Genomic DNA, 17,252 nt, shown 5'->3' on the forward strand with positions numbered 1-17,252 from the left:
AAAAATTAAAAACATTTCCACTTTTTATCATTTTCTCTCTTTTTTGACCTTTTTATTATAGTAAATATACCTAGGATAAAATTTACCATTTTAATAATTTTTAGCCATATGGTTCAGTGGCAATAAGTACATTCTCAATGTTGTTCAATCATCATCACTATTTCCCAAACTTTTTTGTCATTCTAAAAAATGTTTAAATAATATGTAACAAGGCCTTAAAATTCTTCACATAGCCAGGCGGAGTGGCTCATGCCTATAATCCTAGCACTTTGGGAGGCTGAGGTAGGTGGATTACTTGAGTGCATGAGTTCAAGACCAGCCCGGGCAACATGGCAAAACCACATCTGTATAAAAAGTACAAAAATTAGCTGGGTGTGGTGGCATACGCCTGTAGTCCCAGATACCTGGGAGGCTTAGGTAGGAGGATCAACTTAACCCAGGAGGCGGAGGTTGCAGTGAGCCAAGATTGCACCACTGCATTCTAGCCTGAGCAACAGAGCAAGATGTTGTCTCAAGGAAAAAAAAAAAAAAAAAAATATTGTTCACCTAGGTTTTCAAGTGAAAAAAATAACCCCACTAAAGAATAACTAGAAAATGCAGACAAAAGATAGAAAAGATGTTCTATGAATTATTGTCTATAATAGCAAAATGCGGGGGGGCGGGCAGGAGAAACAACCTAAATGTTCATGGGGTAAGGGGGGTAGTTAAAAAAATTATGGCACATCCATAGACACAAAGCAACTTGAGGTTAGAAAGAGGGGAATGTACTATATATGTTTACAATGCCTCGCTTTGGTTAGGAGAACTGTAGATTATTTCCATTTTCTTTATGTTTTTCTATATTTTCCTTATTTTGTTTAATGAATAAGTACTGCCTTCATAACTTCTAAAAGTGTTATTTTCAGAAATGGCATTATGACAAAATCTATGACTTCCCTATAATTATCTTAAATTGAGGGGTAAAAAATTGTCCATCTCTTCCTTTTGCCTCTGACCATCGTGTAATTTTTATAAACTTTCAGCTAATTAAACAAGTATGACTGAATTTCATGCCCATGTGGATTTTTGAAACTTCTAGGCTCAGCATTTTTTTTCACTTTAAAATGTCTTTACTTGCTCAGTATCTGATGGAAAGGTATGCACGGTACTTTACAAAACACTGCATATCATTTTATTGTCATACCTCACCTCCAATTCATAATTCTGCCCAATATAACTTATAGAGTACTGATCACCCTTTGACATTTCTCCATCCTCTCTGACAATTGTTTGTTTCTTTCATTGACTTCTCTGCAACTCACTGATGATATTAGATTGGGCTTTCAGAAATCTCACTCTGGCCACAATGTGGACTAAGGATTGGAGGTGGGGAGACTGAAGTGGGGACTGCTCCACGGAGCCAGGCAAGAGATGGTGAGGGCTTGACTTAGCCACAAACACTGTGGGTAGAAAGAAGTGGACAGATTTAGATGACTTTAGGAGCTGGAACCAACAGGGTGCAGTTACGGATAAGATGGAGTGATGAGGGAAAAGGAAGAGACAGGAATGAGTACTGGCCTTGGGGCTTGGTTGACTGTGTGGGTGGGGCACAGAGGGCCGCAGCAAGGATTACAGGAAAACAGTAACAGTAATGGTAACGGTTCAGCTCAGAGCACATGCCAGAGCCCTAACAATCTCAGAACAAGGGCATCTGCCACGATGTTCATCATCCTTGGAAGTGACTTTCTTAAAGCTGAATTCCTACATGCTCTAGTCCTTCTATGTTCATTTCAACTGGATGTTTTAAGAGTGTTCTGACAAGTCAGGGCTTGATGACGACTCAGGTGAACAAGCCATTTCAATTTTTCAGGTACATATCTCAGCAGTTTCATGGAGTCGCATGGGTTAATAGCCACATGTATCTAGATTGATAAGATACATGTGGTTTACCCCTCCCTTTCTAAATAGTCCCATCCCACCTTCCTTGTTTCACCTTCTGTCATTTCCCCTGACACACTCTATGTCCCCATCACACTGACTCCATCATTTCCCCCAGGAGAACTGGCCCTTTCCCAACACTGTGCTTTTATTAATATAACAAGACAGATTGCTTCATCAGAATCATTCCTCACTGCAGCCTGGCTCAACTCCCTTAGGCAGAATTATTTAATAGTTGCTCTATCATTTGTCCACTAAAAAATAGCTTTGGTTTATCTATCTACTTGAGTTTTTTCTACCTGTCTACTCTGAACTCCTAGAAGGCAAGTACTTCTCTCATTCACCTTTATGTCAACTTACACACAATAAACACTTGAATAAATCAATTATAAAAATAGCCCCTTGGATTGCCTGTGATTAGAACAGACAACTGAGAAATCAAGAAGGGATAAAATAGTGCTTTCAGGCAGGGCTAGCAAATACCTGGCCTTCATGTCCCAACTCTTTCACTTCTTGCCCCTAGCAGGCATTACTAATCCATCCCACTACTTTCTTCTGCCAAGTCTAAACTCAGCCTCAAAAATCTTTTAATTTTTCAGGTAAGCAAATGCTCCACTGGAAGAGCATAGAAAACTACTTCCCATCCCAGCTAGAGGGAATTAAAGCATTCAGCAGTATTAAAACCTATCGTTGAATGGCTTTATGTGCATAATAACTTGACCACAGAGAAAAAAAAAGCTTTTGAAATGACAGGATTCAATTTGTATAATCTCTTTAATTCCATCAACACAAAATATACAGCCTCCCCACAAGAGAAGCAAAGTATGTAAAATTGGCTTTCTTTGCTTGCTGCAAAGGAGACATAAGTTATTCTTTTTCTCCACTAAATTACTACTTGCTCAACTATTTGAAATAACAGTAACAGAAACATACTTGTTGAAGTTGACGAGGTATAGAAATGTAGTCCGTGGTGCCGGCCCATTCCAGTGGATGGTATAACCCTTCTCCAGCATGACGACAGGCTGGTACTGTGGAAAGGCAGCCTTCTGATTAATACCTCGGAGCACCATAGGGTTGGACGGATACTCATCTCGTGTAATGGTCATAGAAAGATTCTGAGTGCTCCATGTCTGTACATAGACCTTGAAAAAATAATCAAGAAGTAAAGGGAAGAGAATGAAAATTTAAACAGCTAAAAAGACATTTTCAGCACAAAGTCAAGTGTCTCAACTTTGAAAAGGGAGATTCTGTGATCTGTGCCAGACTAAGTGAGCAGCAGCCAACTACATCCTCAGCCACTTATAGTGCAGCCTACTTAAACTAGAAATGGTAAAAACAGACCATGTGCTCTGCTAGCCAAGATCTTCATCATCGCTTCCACCACTACAGGCCAGCTTATTCATCAGAATATAAAACTTCTGTGGCTTATACAGCTTGTCAAAGAAATCTCTCAGTCTAAAGAACACACATACAAAAAAAAATTAGTAAACTAATGTGAAAACTGATATCCTCTACTCAAATCTAAGAGACTTTCTTCTAAACCAAGAGATGAAAAACTTATATATCTTAGAGCTTTGGCTTTCAATTTTCCATGACCTACGTCAGCCCACAAAGCCATTTTTCACCCATTCAAAAAAAAAAAAAGTTATAAAGTACTGTGCAACAACTGAAAAAACATTAAACTGAGACAAATTTGAAAGTCCTGAATGTATTCCAGTGGCATTAGAGCTACTTGCCATGCCAAAACAAAGCCATCCCCAAATGTATCCTACAAAGGAAAATTCTTAGAACAAATCTCCTAAAACAAATCAGTATCTGTAACCAAATTCTCCAGAATATTAAAGCAGCAGCAGAATATTGACATTTAATCTACAATACTTCTGTATTTTTCCCTGTCATTTCTATAATCTTATCCATATTGACTCCTCAATTTTATGTCCTTTTTAACTACCTCAATTATTTAATACTCTACTGACACCGCTTAAAGATTTAAAATAGACAGGAAACATTTTTAAGACTATTGATTGTCTTCATTTAAATATATACTCAATATATAATATATATTAATTTAAACATACTTATGTTTAACATATATTTATATATATTTATGTATATGTATATTTACATGTACATTTATATATGTGTATGTGTGTGTGTATATATATATAGGAGGCTGTACATACACTGCATATCTGTCCCCTGCCTTAGTAACCTTAACTCTCCCTATATCACCATCTTTCTCCCTGAGTACCTTTATCCCTCAGGTCATTAAAAAGCACATATTCGGCCAGGCACAGTGGCTCATGCCTGTAATCCCAGCACTTTGGGAGGCCGAGGCAGGCAGATCCCTGGCGGTCAGGAGTTCGACACCAGCCTGACCAATATGGTGAAATCCCGTCTCTATTAAAAATACAAAAATTAGCCAGGTGTGGTGGCGGGTGCCTGTAATCCCAGCTACTTGGGAGGCTGAGGCAGGAGAATTGCTTGAACCTGGGAGGTGGAGGTTGCAGTGAGCCAAGATAGCACTATTGCACTCCAGCCTGGGTAACAAAAACAAAACTCCATCTCAAAAAAAAAGGAAAAAAAAAAAAAGCACATATTCCACTAAAAAATATTTACAAATAGTTAAATCATGATCATTCTATCTTGAGATCCAATTGCTCCCATTTTTGGCATACTACATCATTTCTAAGTAACAACAAATGGCTGCAGAACTGGGCTTCTGGCCCAAATTTCAAATTCTCAGGAGTAAATTTCTGGTCCATAGTCCTACGATTCCCAGTGCCCCCTGAGGAGTATTAGATGACTTATTTCTTTCTTCATCTATAAACAGAATTACTACTCTGATTTGTAATATAGATCAGGTTAATATTCTCAAATACATTAGATATTCAAAGGACTGAATGCTTTACTGAGTGAATGTTGAATAAATGAAAAATATGTCACATTGGTAGTTGCAATGGTAATTTATAAAAGAGCTACCATAACCACATATTTATAGAAACATTTATGATCACTTAAAAAATATAGTTTTCATTAGTGTGTACCTGCCACTTTAAGACAGACAGATAGATATACGCACACATGCATGAATACTCATGGCTGGCAAGAACTTTAGCCAAAACTGTAGCTACAAAAAGGCTAAAAGCTTATTATTTATTTATTTATTATTATTATTATTTTTGAGACAGAGTTTCGCTCTTGTTGCCCAGGCTGGAGTGCAATGGCATGATCTCAGCTCACTGCAAACTCTGCCCCTGGGTTCAAGCGATTCTCCTGCCTCAGTCCCCTCGAGTAGCTGGGATTACACGTGCCCACCACCACGCCTGGCTAATTTTTTCTATTTAGTAGAGATGAAGTTTCACCATGTTGGCCAGGCTGGGCTCGAACTCCAGACCGCAGGTGATCCACCTGCCTCAACCTCCCAAAGTGCTGGGATTACAGGCGTGAGCCACCATGCCCGGCCTTAGTTTTTATTTTCTAGTTTTGTTTCAGTTCTAGAACGTCTATAGTTCCTAGGCATTGATGGGTAAACTTAATTTGGGGAAGGCAATTCTGATTAAGAATAAGATAAATGGAAAAAATAAATCACATTATAAACCATGTTCCTTTCTTCTTTATTCTACTGTAGTTAATTCTCCATCCCTTCTGGGACTTAGGCAAGTATTACTTTTTTTTTTTAGTATTTTTTATTTTTGCTCATGGAAATGAGAAATCCCATAGCAATAAAGAAGCTAATACCCCCACTAAAATAAACCAGAAAGTCTCTCCCGTCTTTATTCCTCTTAAGCCCTTTGTTTAGTCTATAGATAAGGATCTAAACTTTTTAAGTTTTAAAATTTAAAAATCACCTGCTTTAATTGTCGTAATTCAAAGTCAGAAGAACAAAGAAGAATTCTGATCCAAGAAGCTCCAATTATTGAAAGCTCAGGTGGTGGAAACAACATGTAATTCAGGGGGCTCAGAGAAGTGACAAGCGGGAGCCCGAAAACACACCTTTGACCGGCAAAGTGAGCAGAGCTCAGTAGAGGGGAAATAGCACAGCACGGATCCTCCCCAGGAAGAGCCCATGCTACGAAAAGAACATCTAGCAGCAAATCAAAGAAAGGGGCTTCTTTCCTGTCTTTAGGGCTATCACAGCCCAATTCTATGTGGAAAATCCCTTGCTCTTCCTCTAATTCTCGTCTCCATGTTCTGATCATCTATTTCCTTTATCTCCTCTGACAGTCTATTATTAAATCCTGGCCGGGCGCGGTGGCTCACGCCTGTAATCCCAGCATTTTGGGAGGCCGAGGTGGGCGGATCATGAGGTCAGGAGATCAAGACCATCCTGGCTAACACGGTGAAACCCCGTCTCTATTAAAAATACAAAAAAACTAGCCGGGCATGGTGGCGGGCGCCTGTAGTCCAGCTGCTCAGGAGGCTGAGGCAGGAGAATGGCGTGAACCCAGGAGGCGGAGCTTGCAGTGAGCCAAGATTGCGCCACTGCACTCCAGCCTGGGCGACAGAGCAAGACTCCGTCTCAAAAATAAATAAATAAATAAAAATTCCTACCCTTTAATTGTCTGCATGGGGCAGAGGGTGGGGGCAGGATCTGCTCCTTTCAAAATCCTGGGCAGCTGGTACCTCCATTCTGCAATCTCTTCCATCCACCAAAATGTCACTATTAAAATCACCTTTGCAACTTACAGCTCTTCTCCTTAAATAATACTAAGAGCAGCGGGCACTGAACTATGTGCCAGGCCATATGCTAAATGCTTTACATATGTGCATGTACTCTATCTTCACAACAGCCTCCTATGAGAGTAACTACTATTATCCCCATTGTGTACCGACATAGAGAAGTTAATTAACTTTTCCAATGCATACTTTAGAAAATAACAAAGCCAGAATTCAAACCCAGGCAGTCTAGCTCTAGAATCTGTGCTCTTAACCATATATACTACGTTGCAAATTAGTTCATCCTCTTATACTAGGCATCAAGTTAATACACATTAATGCTTAATGTCTTCAAAGAGGTGTTTCTCAATGTATATCATCTCCTCCATATTTTCATAGACATTATATCATAATAGAATTAGGAAATTTTCCTTGGATTCCTTTCTTGTCCACTCACTCCTAATCTCCAGCTCTGTCCCCGGGAACATCTCACTTTTCATGTGACCTATTGATATTTTGCCTCAAAAGTCAGATTCTTTCATTAAGTAGAGATTACTGACCCCAAAAGCAAAGGATAAAAATCCCTCTTAGAGGGCATAGCTGTAGTGTGGCAAGAAAACCTAAGAGTCAAGAAACATGGGTTCTTGTCCCAACTACGTTCCAACCACATTTAACCCAGGGTAAATCAGCTCTCCTCTCTGGGACTCACTCTTTCACCTCTTAAACAGATCTGGAGTTGGGGAGTTTTAAGAAAAATTCCAGGAGTCCATGACTCCTAATGAATCGAAAGAAAGAAAAGAAAGGACAGGACAGGACAGGAAGATAGATCATACTTTGGAAAATGTCAATCACACTGAAAAGCTGAAGAGTACTTCTCACAGAAGCAGTGCTGGCAGGAGCTGGTAGGAACTTGAGCATTATACATTTGCTAAGCCTACCTGTGCATAGGTCCCACTGCAGATCACTGCATTCCACTTAGACACATTTACACAGCTTGGATGGCGGATCAGGTAGTTGTCCATTCTTCCCACATAAGCATCCTTGTATCCTGTCACAGAGCCATCAATGTCATGGAATATGGAGTTCTTATCACCATCCATCTCACAATCTTCAAACCAGGGACCAGGCTTTCCAAAAAAGACATTCAGAGAGACCTGACCACAGTGAAAAAGAAAGACATCACAAAGTGAGGGCTCCTGCTATCTCAGCATCCCCTGCAATGACTCAACTGCAGGTCCATTGTGATTGCTTTAAGGTTAGAGCAGTTCTGAGTTACAGTTCATAGTTGTCAGCTATGGCACTCAAGTCAGCCTGAGTTTTCTACTCAATTAATGACATGCTGGGGTTGGGGGGAATTTCCCAAAACCTTATGGTGTTTAATGGGCAAATGTTAAACTTCATCGTTATTTGTATTCTTCTTTTCCCCACTTAAAAACTATTACCTGTTCTCCAGACAAAACTCATTTGTGGGGAGAGAAAGCAGAAGAGTTGTGGGAAGGGAGACTATGCAGTCACATATATTTGTTAAAAATTATAAACTGTACATGTAAGATCTGTGCATTTCCCTACATGTAAATTATATCTCAATGAAATAAAAAATCTATGATAAGTTATCTTCAGAGCTAGTTAATCATTTTATCTCCAAATGCTTCAGTTACTTGTTCATATGACTCCCCCCACCAAAAAAATAAACAGATAAGTACAGGTCAAAACAGAAACACAATTTAAGTGTTGACTTAGTATGGCTGAGTTATTGATAAACTCACTAGAATCTGCTAAAAAGCTTATATTACTATCTCGCTCCTCAATACAGACCAAACTCAGCTCAACAATTTTCACATCCAGTAGAGTTTACTTAAAGCCTTTATCAAACACATAATGTACAGCTGCAAAATGGGCTGCAGGTGACATGTTTTACAGTCTTTAGCTGCTTCTTATTAGCAGTAAATTATATAATACCAACGCTATTGAAGTCAGGCAGATACCTCTCTTAAATGCTTTTATGCACTTTTTGCCCTGGTGTGTTTTTAAATCAACAGAACATCTAAATGATAAGCAACTCAATGGAAAACTGTGACGTCTAGGACAAGTAGCGGCAAGTTCTTGGTTCCACACTTCTCTTTTCCTACGTGGTTAAATCTGAGAAAAGCTTAGAGCATATTTTCCACCCTTTTAAGTAAAGCAAATTTTGCAAACCGCTCCTTTTATAAGCTTCAGAGCATCCCCACCATAGAAAACTCCAGACTGGATGAACTGCTGGACTTAAACAATATGGATTGTATTATGCTGTTATAACTTTAGGACAACAAATGCAGTATCTAACAAACTGCTTTTCAGTATGCCTATGCCAGTGATCACTAAACAGGATGCATAGAGAACTACGGGGAGGTCCACATGGGCAGTAAGGAAACAGCAAGTCTCCGTACTGGACAGGGGATCCAAGACTCATCCTGCTGATTTATGTGGGTGCCATCTACCAGCCTAGTCCTACCCATCCCCTGGAGTCACATGGCCTAAAAAAGAACCAGCCAACCAAGCTGACACTCCAATTTGTACTTGTGCCTCTGATCCACACCCAAGCTGTTGTAGAAAACCAGACATAGACTTTGATAAACCTATCAAGCTCTATTTTAAATTGGGCAACTATTAAGTTTGTGGGTGGATGTGAATGAAAGAATGATGACTTATTTCCCAGGTGTGGCTGCCTGTGGGAACAGGCAGCTAGATGTCCTGAGACTTCTCTGTCTTGTGCCATTGCCACCATGGAACTGGCAAGATGATGAAAGCCTGGGGGCATGTAATCAGATTGTCCTGTGAGTTATGGGTACAGGTAATACTGGTGAAATTGGTAAGAAAACCATTCCTGTGGGCTACTGTACTGTAAATGGTAATTTTTACAGTCTATCTGCAATCTTCATAAAAACCTTCCAACAGTTTATATCAGAAATAACCCAATTTCAGCCAGATGCAGTGGCTCACACCTACACTCCCAATACTTTGGGAGGCCAAGCTGAGAGGACCATTTGAGGCCAGGAGTTAAAGACCAGCCCAGGCTAATGAGGCCCTTTCTCTATTAAAAAAAAAAAAAAATTTTTTTTAAGTAGCCAGATGTGGTGGCATATGCTTGTATACCCAGCTACTTAGGGGGCTGAGGTGGGAGGATGGCTTGAGCCATCCATCCAATTGAGGTTGAAGCTGCAGTGAGCCATGACTTTGCCACCGTTCACATCAGTGCACTGCAGCCTGGGTGACAGGCTGAGACCCTGCCTCAAAGAAAAAAAAAAAGAAAAGAAAAAAGAAATAACCTAATTTGTATCACACTGCCACAGTATTCTGCTTTATTCACAACCTCTTATTCTCTAGTCCCCCAGAAGAATAGCCCTCAGACAAGTAAAATAGCAGGAAGGATCCAAATCTCTTAGTGGAAATGGGCTACCCAACCAGCGTATTTCACTGAATTTTCCAAAATCGTATGTCCTCTTGTTCCTATGAAACTCTACAACCTCTGTATCATCACTTGAAGTCATTTTCCCTATCAAGGTATGACTTGAATGTCAAACATACCCAGAGTCACACGGGACTTCTGTTCTCCCCTTGAACTCAATGGGAGAGAGTGCATGGAATTAGGAGCTGGCTCTGTGTGTATGTCTCCTCCCACTCGTACAGACTCGGTGCAAATCCTTTGCGTTTTTGTCTTTGGGAATGTGCTATCCCTCCTTTTTTCACCATAGTCACTACGTAAGAACTACAGAACATACTTACATGTGGACCAAACTTCACGAGGGAGATATTATTCCTGGGGGTTATCTGCCAGGAATTCTTCATGAGGAAGCCAATTGCACTGCTGTACCTATCTGGAGTTGGCACATATTTTTTGAAAGTGCTCCTTGTGAGATGAATGGGCCCATCATAAATCTGAAAGCCTCTAATTGGGAACGTCCTGTGGAAATACAAGATTTTGTTTAATGCATATGGGCTGTCCCCTTAGCAGCACTTCACTTACTTGTTTTATGAAGACAGCTAAATATCCGGTATGAACTAAGCAAAATTCTAGGATACAGTAGGAGCCAAAACAAGATACCTGATTGAATGAAACATATGCTGTAGTGGGAAAGACAAACAGAAAAACAAAGGATCATTTCAGAAAATAAGTGCTATAGAGACCATAAGACACAACATTATCATAGATTGGGTGGGGAGAAAGATGCTATTTTAGACAGAATGGAGGCCTCTCTGAAGAGGTGACTTTGTCTTCCTAGAATCAACTCAGTTAAGATCTTTTATTCGGAACCTCAGGTACTTTGGTCTTCGTTTCCAAATCTCCAACCATGAGAACAAAAGACAAGTCTGCGCTTAGGCAGAGAACCACCTCTCAAGCCACTAAATGATGGTACAAAGGTGAAATGATACATTTAAAAGTGTGAAAACATGAGCCCTCAAGGCTTACCATGTCAACAGGGTTAGCTAGACTGAGAATTTTGTTTTATTCATTTTCCCCCTTTCTGTTCAAACACAAACTCCTTAGCCTACTAATCATAAATCAATAACTGTAATTAATGTATAGGAACTGGTAATATTCTGAATTCCTTAAGTTCCTCTCCTATTAATTCTTTAATTGCATGGCAGAGGATCTCTATAGCAACTAATTATTCTACAACTAGGCAATGTTTTACAGCAAAAGCATATATGCTAGCAAGAAAACCAAATAGCCTAGTTTGAAAACCTTCGCATCATGATGTATTTAATATTTCTAAGTATACATCTCAACATGGTTCTCCCCTGTAGAAAAAGTTGTGATATGGTCTGGCTCTGTGTCCCCACCCAAATCACATCTTGTAGCTCCCATAATTCCCACGTGTTGTGGGAGGGACCCAGCGGGAGATGACTGAATCGGGGGCGGGTCTTCTCCGTGCTGTTCTCATGACAGTGAATGGGTCTCACGATATCCGATGGTTTTAAAAACAGGAGTTTCCCTGTTTTAAAAAGAGAGCACAAGCTCTCTTTTTGCCTGCTGCCATCCAGGTAAGATGTGACTTGCTCTCATTGCCTTCTGTCATGATTGTGAGGCCTCCCCAGCCATGTAGAACTGCAAGTCCAATAAACCTCTTTCTTTTGATTTTAAATTGCCCAGTCTCAGGTATGTCTTTATCAGCAGTGTGAAAACGGACTAATACAAGTTGTAAAGATATGATCATATTAAAGCTGTTTCCATTAAATAATGAGAAAGTTTGATTTTGGAAAATCCTCCTTACCAAACAGCAAAAAGCATTTTGAAATAAAACTGGAGGTCAATATAAAATACAGAGTGAAATTGATTTGGCGACCATCACATTGCAGCCCATATGACAACCAATACAGCTTTTTAAAAAATCTACACCTTAGAAACAGCAGCAAGAGCCTAATTGTGAAGAGCACAGCACTGAAGACAACCTAACTGGGTTTGAATTCCACCTTCTCTACCTTTAGTAAGATACTCATTTGTAAAACAGGATGCTGGCAGAACCTATCTCATTGAGCTTTGTGAGGATTAAATAAATATATTTACAACAGGGCCTGACATATCATAAGCATTTAATACATGTTAGCAATTAAAAAATCCATGAAGTTCTTTTCCCAATGGCTTCTATGGGCTAACACGAGTTCCACACAGAGTGTAGCACATAGCAGTGCTCGATATTCCACAACAACAAGCACAAGGGGTGAGAAGCCAAGCATGGTGACCTTTTTCCAGAAAATAGTACAGCTCTCCCCCGAGTCCTCACTCTGCGCCACCACTCCCCAAAGCTACAGTCTGTATGTCCCATTCCTCTGCCTTGTTCTAGCCCAACATTCTGCGACAGCACTCCTCTAGGGGAGTTGATTCTTAAAGAATTATGACATGGGCTCAGATGTGAGGCCTAAAAACACTGTTGAATATTTTTCTACCTGGTTTTCTCACAAGTAAAATGAGAAGTCCAAACTGTGCCTCAGAACTGAGATATGAATTATTAGTTAATAGTTTCCTTAAAGCTTTGAAGACGTGCTAAGTACAATTTTAATGACTCTGTGATGATGATGACAGAAAACATGCCAAGAGCCTACCCCATTCCCTTCAACATCTAAACTGCCATTAATTAGACAGCTGTGGTGGGGTTTTGAGTTAACTTTGGCATCAATCAACTCTCATTTCCTAGGACTCTTTTCAGTAGGTAATTTCCTTTTTCCAGTAGTTATTTCTGAAAACCAACAACACACATTGAGGAAAAACTGACCTAATGTCATAGTTTAGGGTTTGGCAACTTTCTATGGCTCAAGAAGGAAGAAAAAAAACAGTTTATATAAGGTCTTATACAAGGAATGAGAAACAAGACAAGTTTCTTTGTTATAAAATTGATAATTAAATCTATGAAATGTTTAATAACTAATGCTCCAAAATTTCAGGAGGATAATACACATAATAATTATAATAGTAGTAGCAGTAGCAGCTGTAGCAGTAGTAGTAATAAATGATAAAATAGGAAAAGAGTCTCATGGTAGGAACCAATCCATCCAGGATTATCACAGAAACTTCCCTGAGGGTTAGGTTTTCCTTTATTGCTTAAATTTAACACTCCACAGCTAAAGCAATGCTTACCTGTTCCTGGGTAATGTTCGAGGCTTCTGGTCTATTCCTCCAGTGCCTACATACTTGTTCTGACCACCCTGAAAGCCGTAATTCCTGCTCTCCCCAACAAAGAGAGATTCAGATACCTCTTGGCTGGAACCTTCATCACTTGGGAAGCTTCCATCACTGTTAAAATGCGAACAATCATTAGCTACATTTCTCCAGAAAATTTAAATGTATTCCCAAATGTAGGCATGCTATAACTGAAAAGCTAAAAGTTTTAAAAGAAGTCAATAGCTTTTCTAATACACATTCACAAGTCTTCAGAAACTGCTTTTTTTTTTTTTTTTTTTTTTTGAGACAGGTTCTTGCTCTGTCACCCAATGCTCGAGTACAATGGCAAGAACATGGTTCACTGCAGCCTTGACCTGCTGGGCTCAAACAATCCTCCCACCTCAGCCTTCCAAGTAGCTGGGACCACACATGCGTGCCACCATGCCCAGATAATTTTTTAAAATTTTTGTGGAGATGGGGTCTTGCTATGTGGCCCATGCTGGTCTTAAACTCTTGGCCTCAAGTGATCATCCTGTTTTAGCCTCCCAAAATGCTGGGATTATAGTTATGAGCCATCACACTCAGCCTTGAAATTGCTTTTAAACTATAAAAATACCTATACCTACTTATAGCCTAATATATATATACATACATATATCCCTCTTAAGATATATATATATATATATATATACTTTTTTTTTTTTAAAGAGACAGGGTCTCATTCTGTCAGCCAGGCTGGAGCAGCAACCTTGAACTCGAGCTCACAGGATACTGCCATCTCAGCCTCCAGAGTAGCTAAGATTACAGGCATGCCACTATGCCTGGTTAAGGTTAATTTTTTTATTTTTGGTAGAGACAGGGTCTTGCTATGTTGCTCAGGCTGGTCTCAAACTCCTGGCTTTGAGCGATCCTCCTGTCTTGGCCTCCCAAACTGCTGAGATTACAGGTGTGAGCCGGTATGTCCAGCCCTCATATGAATTAATAAATGATTTACAAATTATATATAAACAAACTTTAATTTAGCAGCAATAATTGATTGCTCTAGTCTCAAGCAATAACACTGAGAATGAGGAGAACAAACTTGTCCTGAATATAAGAATTAAATGACAAGCATATTTAACATGACAACTAGAATGACTATTATCTGTAGAAAAACATACAGAACAAAAAGTTTAGTTCTTAAAGAACTAAACTTGCTAAATTAGAGCAGCTTCTAAGAAAGCAAATATTAGTTTTTTAATTTTCTCCCTACTTTTACTCCCTTCCTCTTTTTTCCCCTACTTTTTAAAAACTTTAGTCTAAATCGCAAGTGTTTTCTTCTAAGCAGAAATTATCCTTCTGTGAAATTCCAGCTATATTAACCTAGTACTTTGCTATGAATTCAATTAATCCAGAAAAAAAAAAATGTATTTTTGGCCCTCTAGTGGCATCAGGAAGAGGTTGCTAATTTTTTTTATGTTAAAAAAAATAATAAAACATTCCTGTGTATTATCAGAAAAAAAAATCAAGGGTTATTTTAAAGCTTTAAAATAAGTAAGTATTTTTAAGCAATTACAAACCTGGCAAAGGTCAGTCCTATTCCATTATCTGCAAATCTGTAAAAGAAGAGAGAATGAAGAACATTTTAATTTACCATATTATGTAAAAAGAGGTAATTCTCTCAATATTTAATTATCATGAAATCCAAAAGGTCCCAATATTTACTCTCTACATGACCACACAAAAATTTGATTTCACAATAACTAGGAGCACAGAATCTGCAGTGAGGGCACCCAGTTCAAATCCGGGCTTTGTCAATTATTAGCTGTGTGACTTTTGGCAACCTACTCAACCTCTATCTCTCACTTTTCCCATCTGTAAGTTGAAATGAAAATATAACCTTCCTCATAGGATTCTTGAGAGTATTAAACATACTAAATAATTTCTAGTGTTGGCAAGGTATGGTGGCTCATGCCTGTAATCCCAACACTTTGGGAGGCTGAGGCAGGAGAATCGCTTGAGCCCAGGAAGTCAAGACCAGCATGGGCAACACAGGGACACTCTGTCTCCACAAAAAATTTAAAAGTTAGCAGGGCGTTGTGGCACATGCCTGTGGTCCCAGCTACTCGGGAGGCTAAGGTGAGAGGTTTGCTTGAGCATAGAAAGTTGAGGCTGCAGTGAGCTATGATTGCACCACTGAACTCTAGCCTGGGTGACAGGGCAAGACCCTGTCTCAAAAAATAATAATTTCTAATGTTAGGAACAGTGCCTGGCAAACAGTAAGCAGTGTATCAAAGTATTAGCTATAATTATTATTTTTATAACTATGTTTTAAAAACAACTAGACTGTGGTATATGATTCTGAAGCCATTTCTACAGATTCAACACAGTATCAGTTTTTTGGATGAAAAAACTCAGAAATGATGTGAAATGCCAAGAAGCTAATTTCAGTGCCAGAAAAAAAAATACACACACACATTTTTCTAGACTGTTGAACACTAAATCTTAGCTCAACATGCATGAGACCACTCCTAAAATTATACAAATGGGAAAAAAAGTGAGATACTTACTGCCTCAAGTCATGTTAAGATATAAGTCAACAGATTTACTGAGTTGGAATTATAAAGCTTTTATTTTGAATGGCAATAGAAGAGCATCAGAAAAACTAAGGAGTTTTCAAGAGGAAGGGAAAAGATCCAGGTAGTTTTATTTAGCGCTCTGACATAGACCATGCTTGTTATATAAAGTTAAATTCCCGGTTTCTGTTCAATTTCATCAAAAACTCTCATGTCACCGGATAAGTTCTGTTCCAATAAAAGCACCAGAATGAGACAACTTCAAACATTTGTGGTCTTTTAACTCTAGCATACTTCCTCAGAGCTTGTCCTGTCTTAATAATAATAATATGATTCCAAGAATCATCACTGTGCTTTCATGCTACTGGCTTTAAAAAAAATCTGAAAAATAATACATCAGTGTCATCATATAATAACTTGGTAGAGAATACCCACGCTGAATTTTGAACGATAATATCTCCTCCTCTGACCCAAGCTCCATTATCATTATTTTTAAAAGCAATGAGCCTGTCAATTAGAGCAGCAACACGTGGTTTTTCGGGGTTTGCATCCTGATGAGGTCGAAATCTAGGGGTTAAAAAAAGAATTTTAAAAAATATAACATAAAAGCCATAGGAATTAGCTAGTTATAAGTTTAAGTGTCAAGAAGCAGAATTTAAATTTGACCAAAACAAATGAAAAATTCTTAAGATACAACTTACTTACATTTTAAACATTCAAAGAAGAAATTACATTTATTTAACCACAAGTTTCCAGAGAACCAACTGCTTTTACATCTTCTTAGTTTGTTTTTGAAAAATCAATTAAAATGGACACTGCAGAATATTATTGCATAAAAATCATTTCCAAAAAAACCCAGATCAGGAAGTATGTCATGTGTGTTTACAAATCCTTAAGGTACATGTTACCAATATAAACTTATTTAATAAATTAATAATATATTTCAACATACATATATGTGAACTAGAGTATAATTTGAGTTGTATGCTGGTTAAATGTTTAGATATAGACAAAACTGGGTTCAATATCATTAAAATGCCTAAATTTAAAATAGACTGTATTTTTTAATATTTTCTTTTTTTGAGACAGAGTCTCACTCTGTCACCCAGGCTGGAGTGCAGTGGCGCAATCTTGGCTCACTGCAACCTCTGCTTCCCGGGTTCAAGCATTTCTCCTGCTTCAGCCTTCTGAGTAGCTGGGATTACAGGCATCCATCGCCACACCCACCTAAGTTTTGTATTTTTAGCAGAGACAAGGTCTCCCCATGTTGGCCAGGCTGGTCTCGAACTCCTGACCTCAGGTGATCCACCCACCTCAGCCTCCCAAAGTGCTGAGATTATAAGTGTGAGCCACCGCACCCAGCCAGACTGTATTTAATTAACATATTTATTATAAATACTGAACTTCACCTTTTCTTTTTCTTCTCTCTAAAACAGTTATAAGGACCTTACTGAAAAGGTAAAAACAGTTGGTGTCAAAAACTG

The 17,252-nt window shown here is 38.8% G+C and overlaps 1 protein-coding gene across 6 annotated transcripts in view; it reads right to left on the reverse strand.

The window, feature by feature from the left end:
- The window catches only part of CEMIP2 (cell migration inducing hyaluronidase 2), an 86,101-nt gene that overhangs the window by 18,379 nt on the left and 50,470 nt on the right, over positions 1 to 17,252 (reverse strand). For all 6 annotated transcript variants that reach the window (XM_047423136.1, XM_005251869.5, NM_001135820.2 and 3 more), the window contains 6 exons: positions 16,204 to 16,335; positions 14,773 to 14,808; positions 13,190 to 13,345; positions 10,339 to 10,516; positions 7,515 to 7,730; positions 2,851 to 3,059 (listed from right to left, as the gene is read on the reverse strand). In XM_047423136.1, the coding sequence (XP_047279092.1) occupies positions 2,851 to 3,059; positions 7,515 to 7,730; positions 10,339 to 10,516; positions 13,190 to 13,345; positions 14,773 to 14,808; positions 16,204 to 16,335 (927 nt within the window). The remainder of the gene's footprint in view (positions 1 to 2,850; positions 3,060 to 7,514; positions 7,731 to 10,338; positions 10,517 to 13,189; positions 13,346 to 14,772; positions 14,809 to 16,203; positions 16,336 to 17,252) is intronic.

This window comes from Homo sapiens, chromosome 9 (assembly GCF_000001405.40).
Source record: "Homo sapiens chromosome 9, GRCh38.p14 Primary Assembly".
Taxonomy (NCBI): Eukaryota; Metazoa; Chordata; class Mammalia; order Primates; family Hominidae; genus Homo; species Homo sapiens.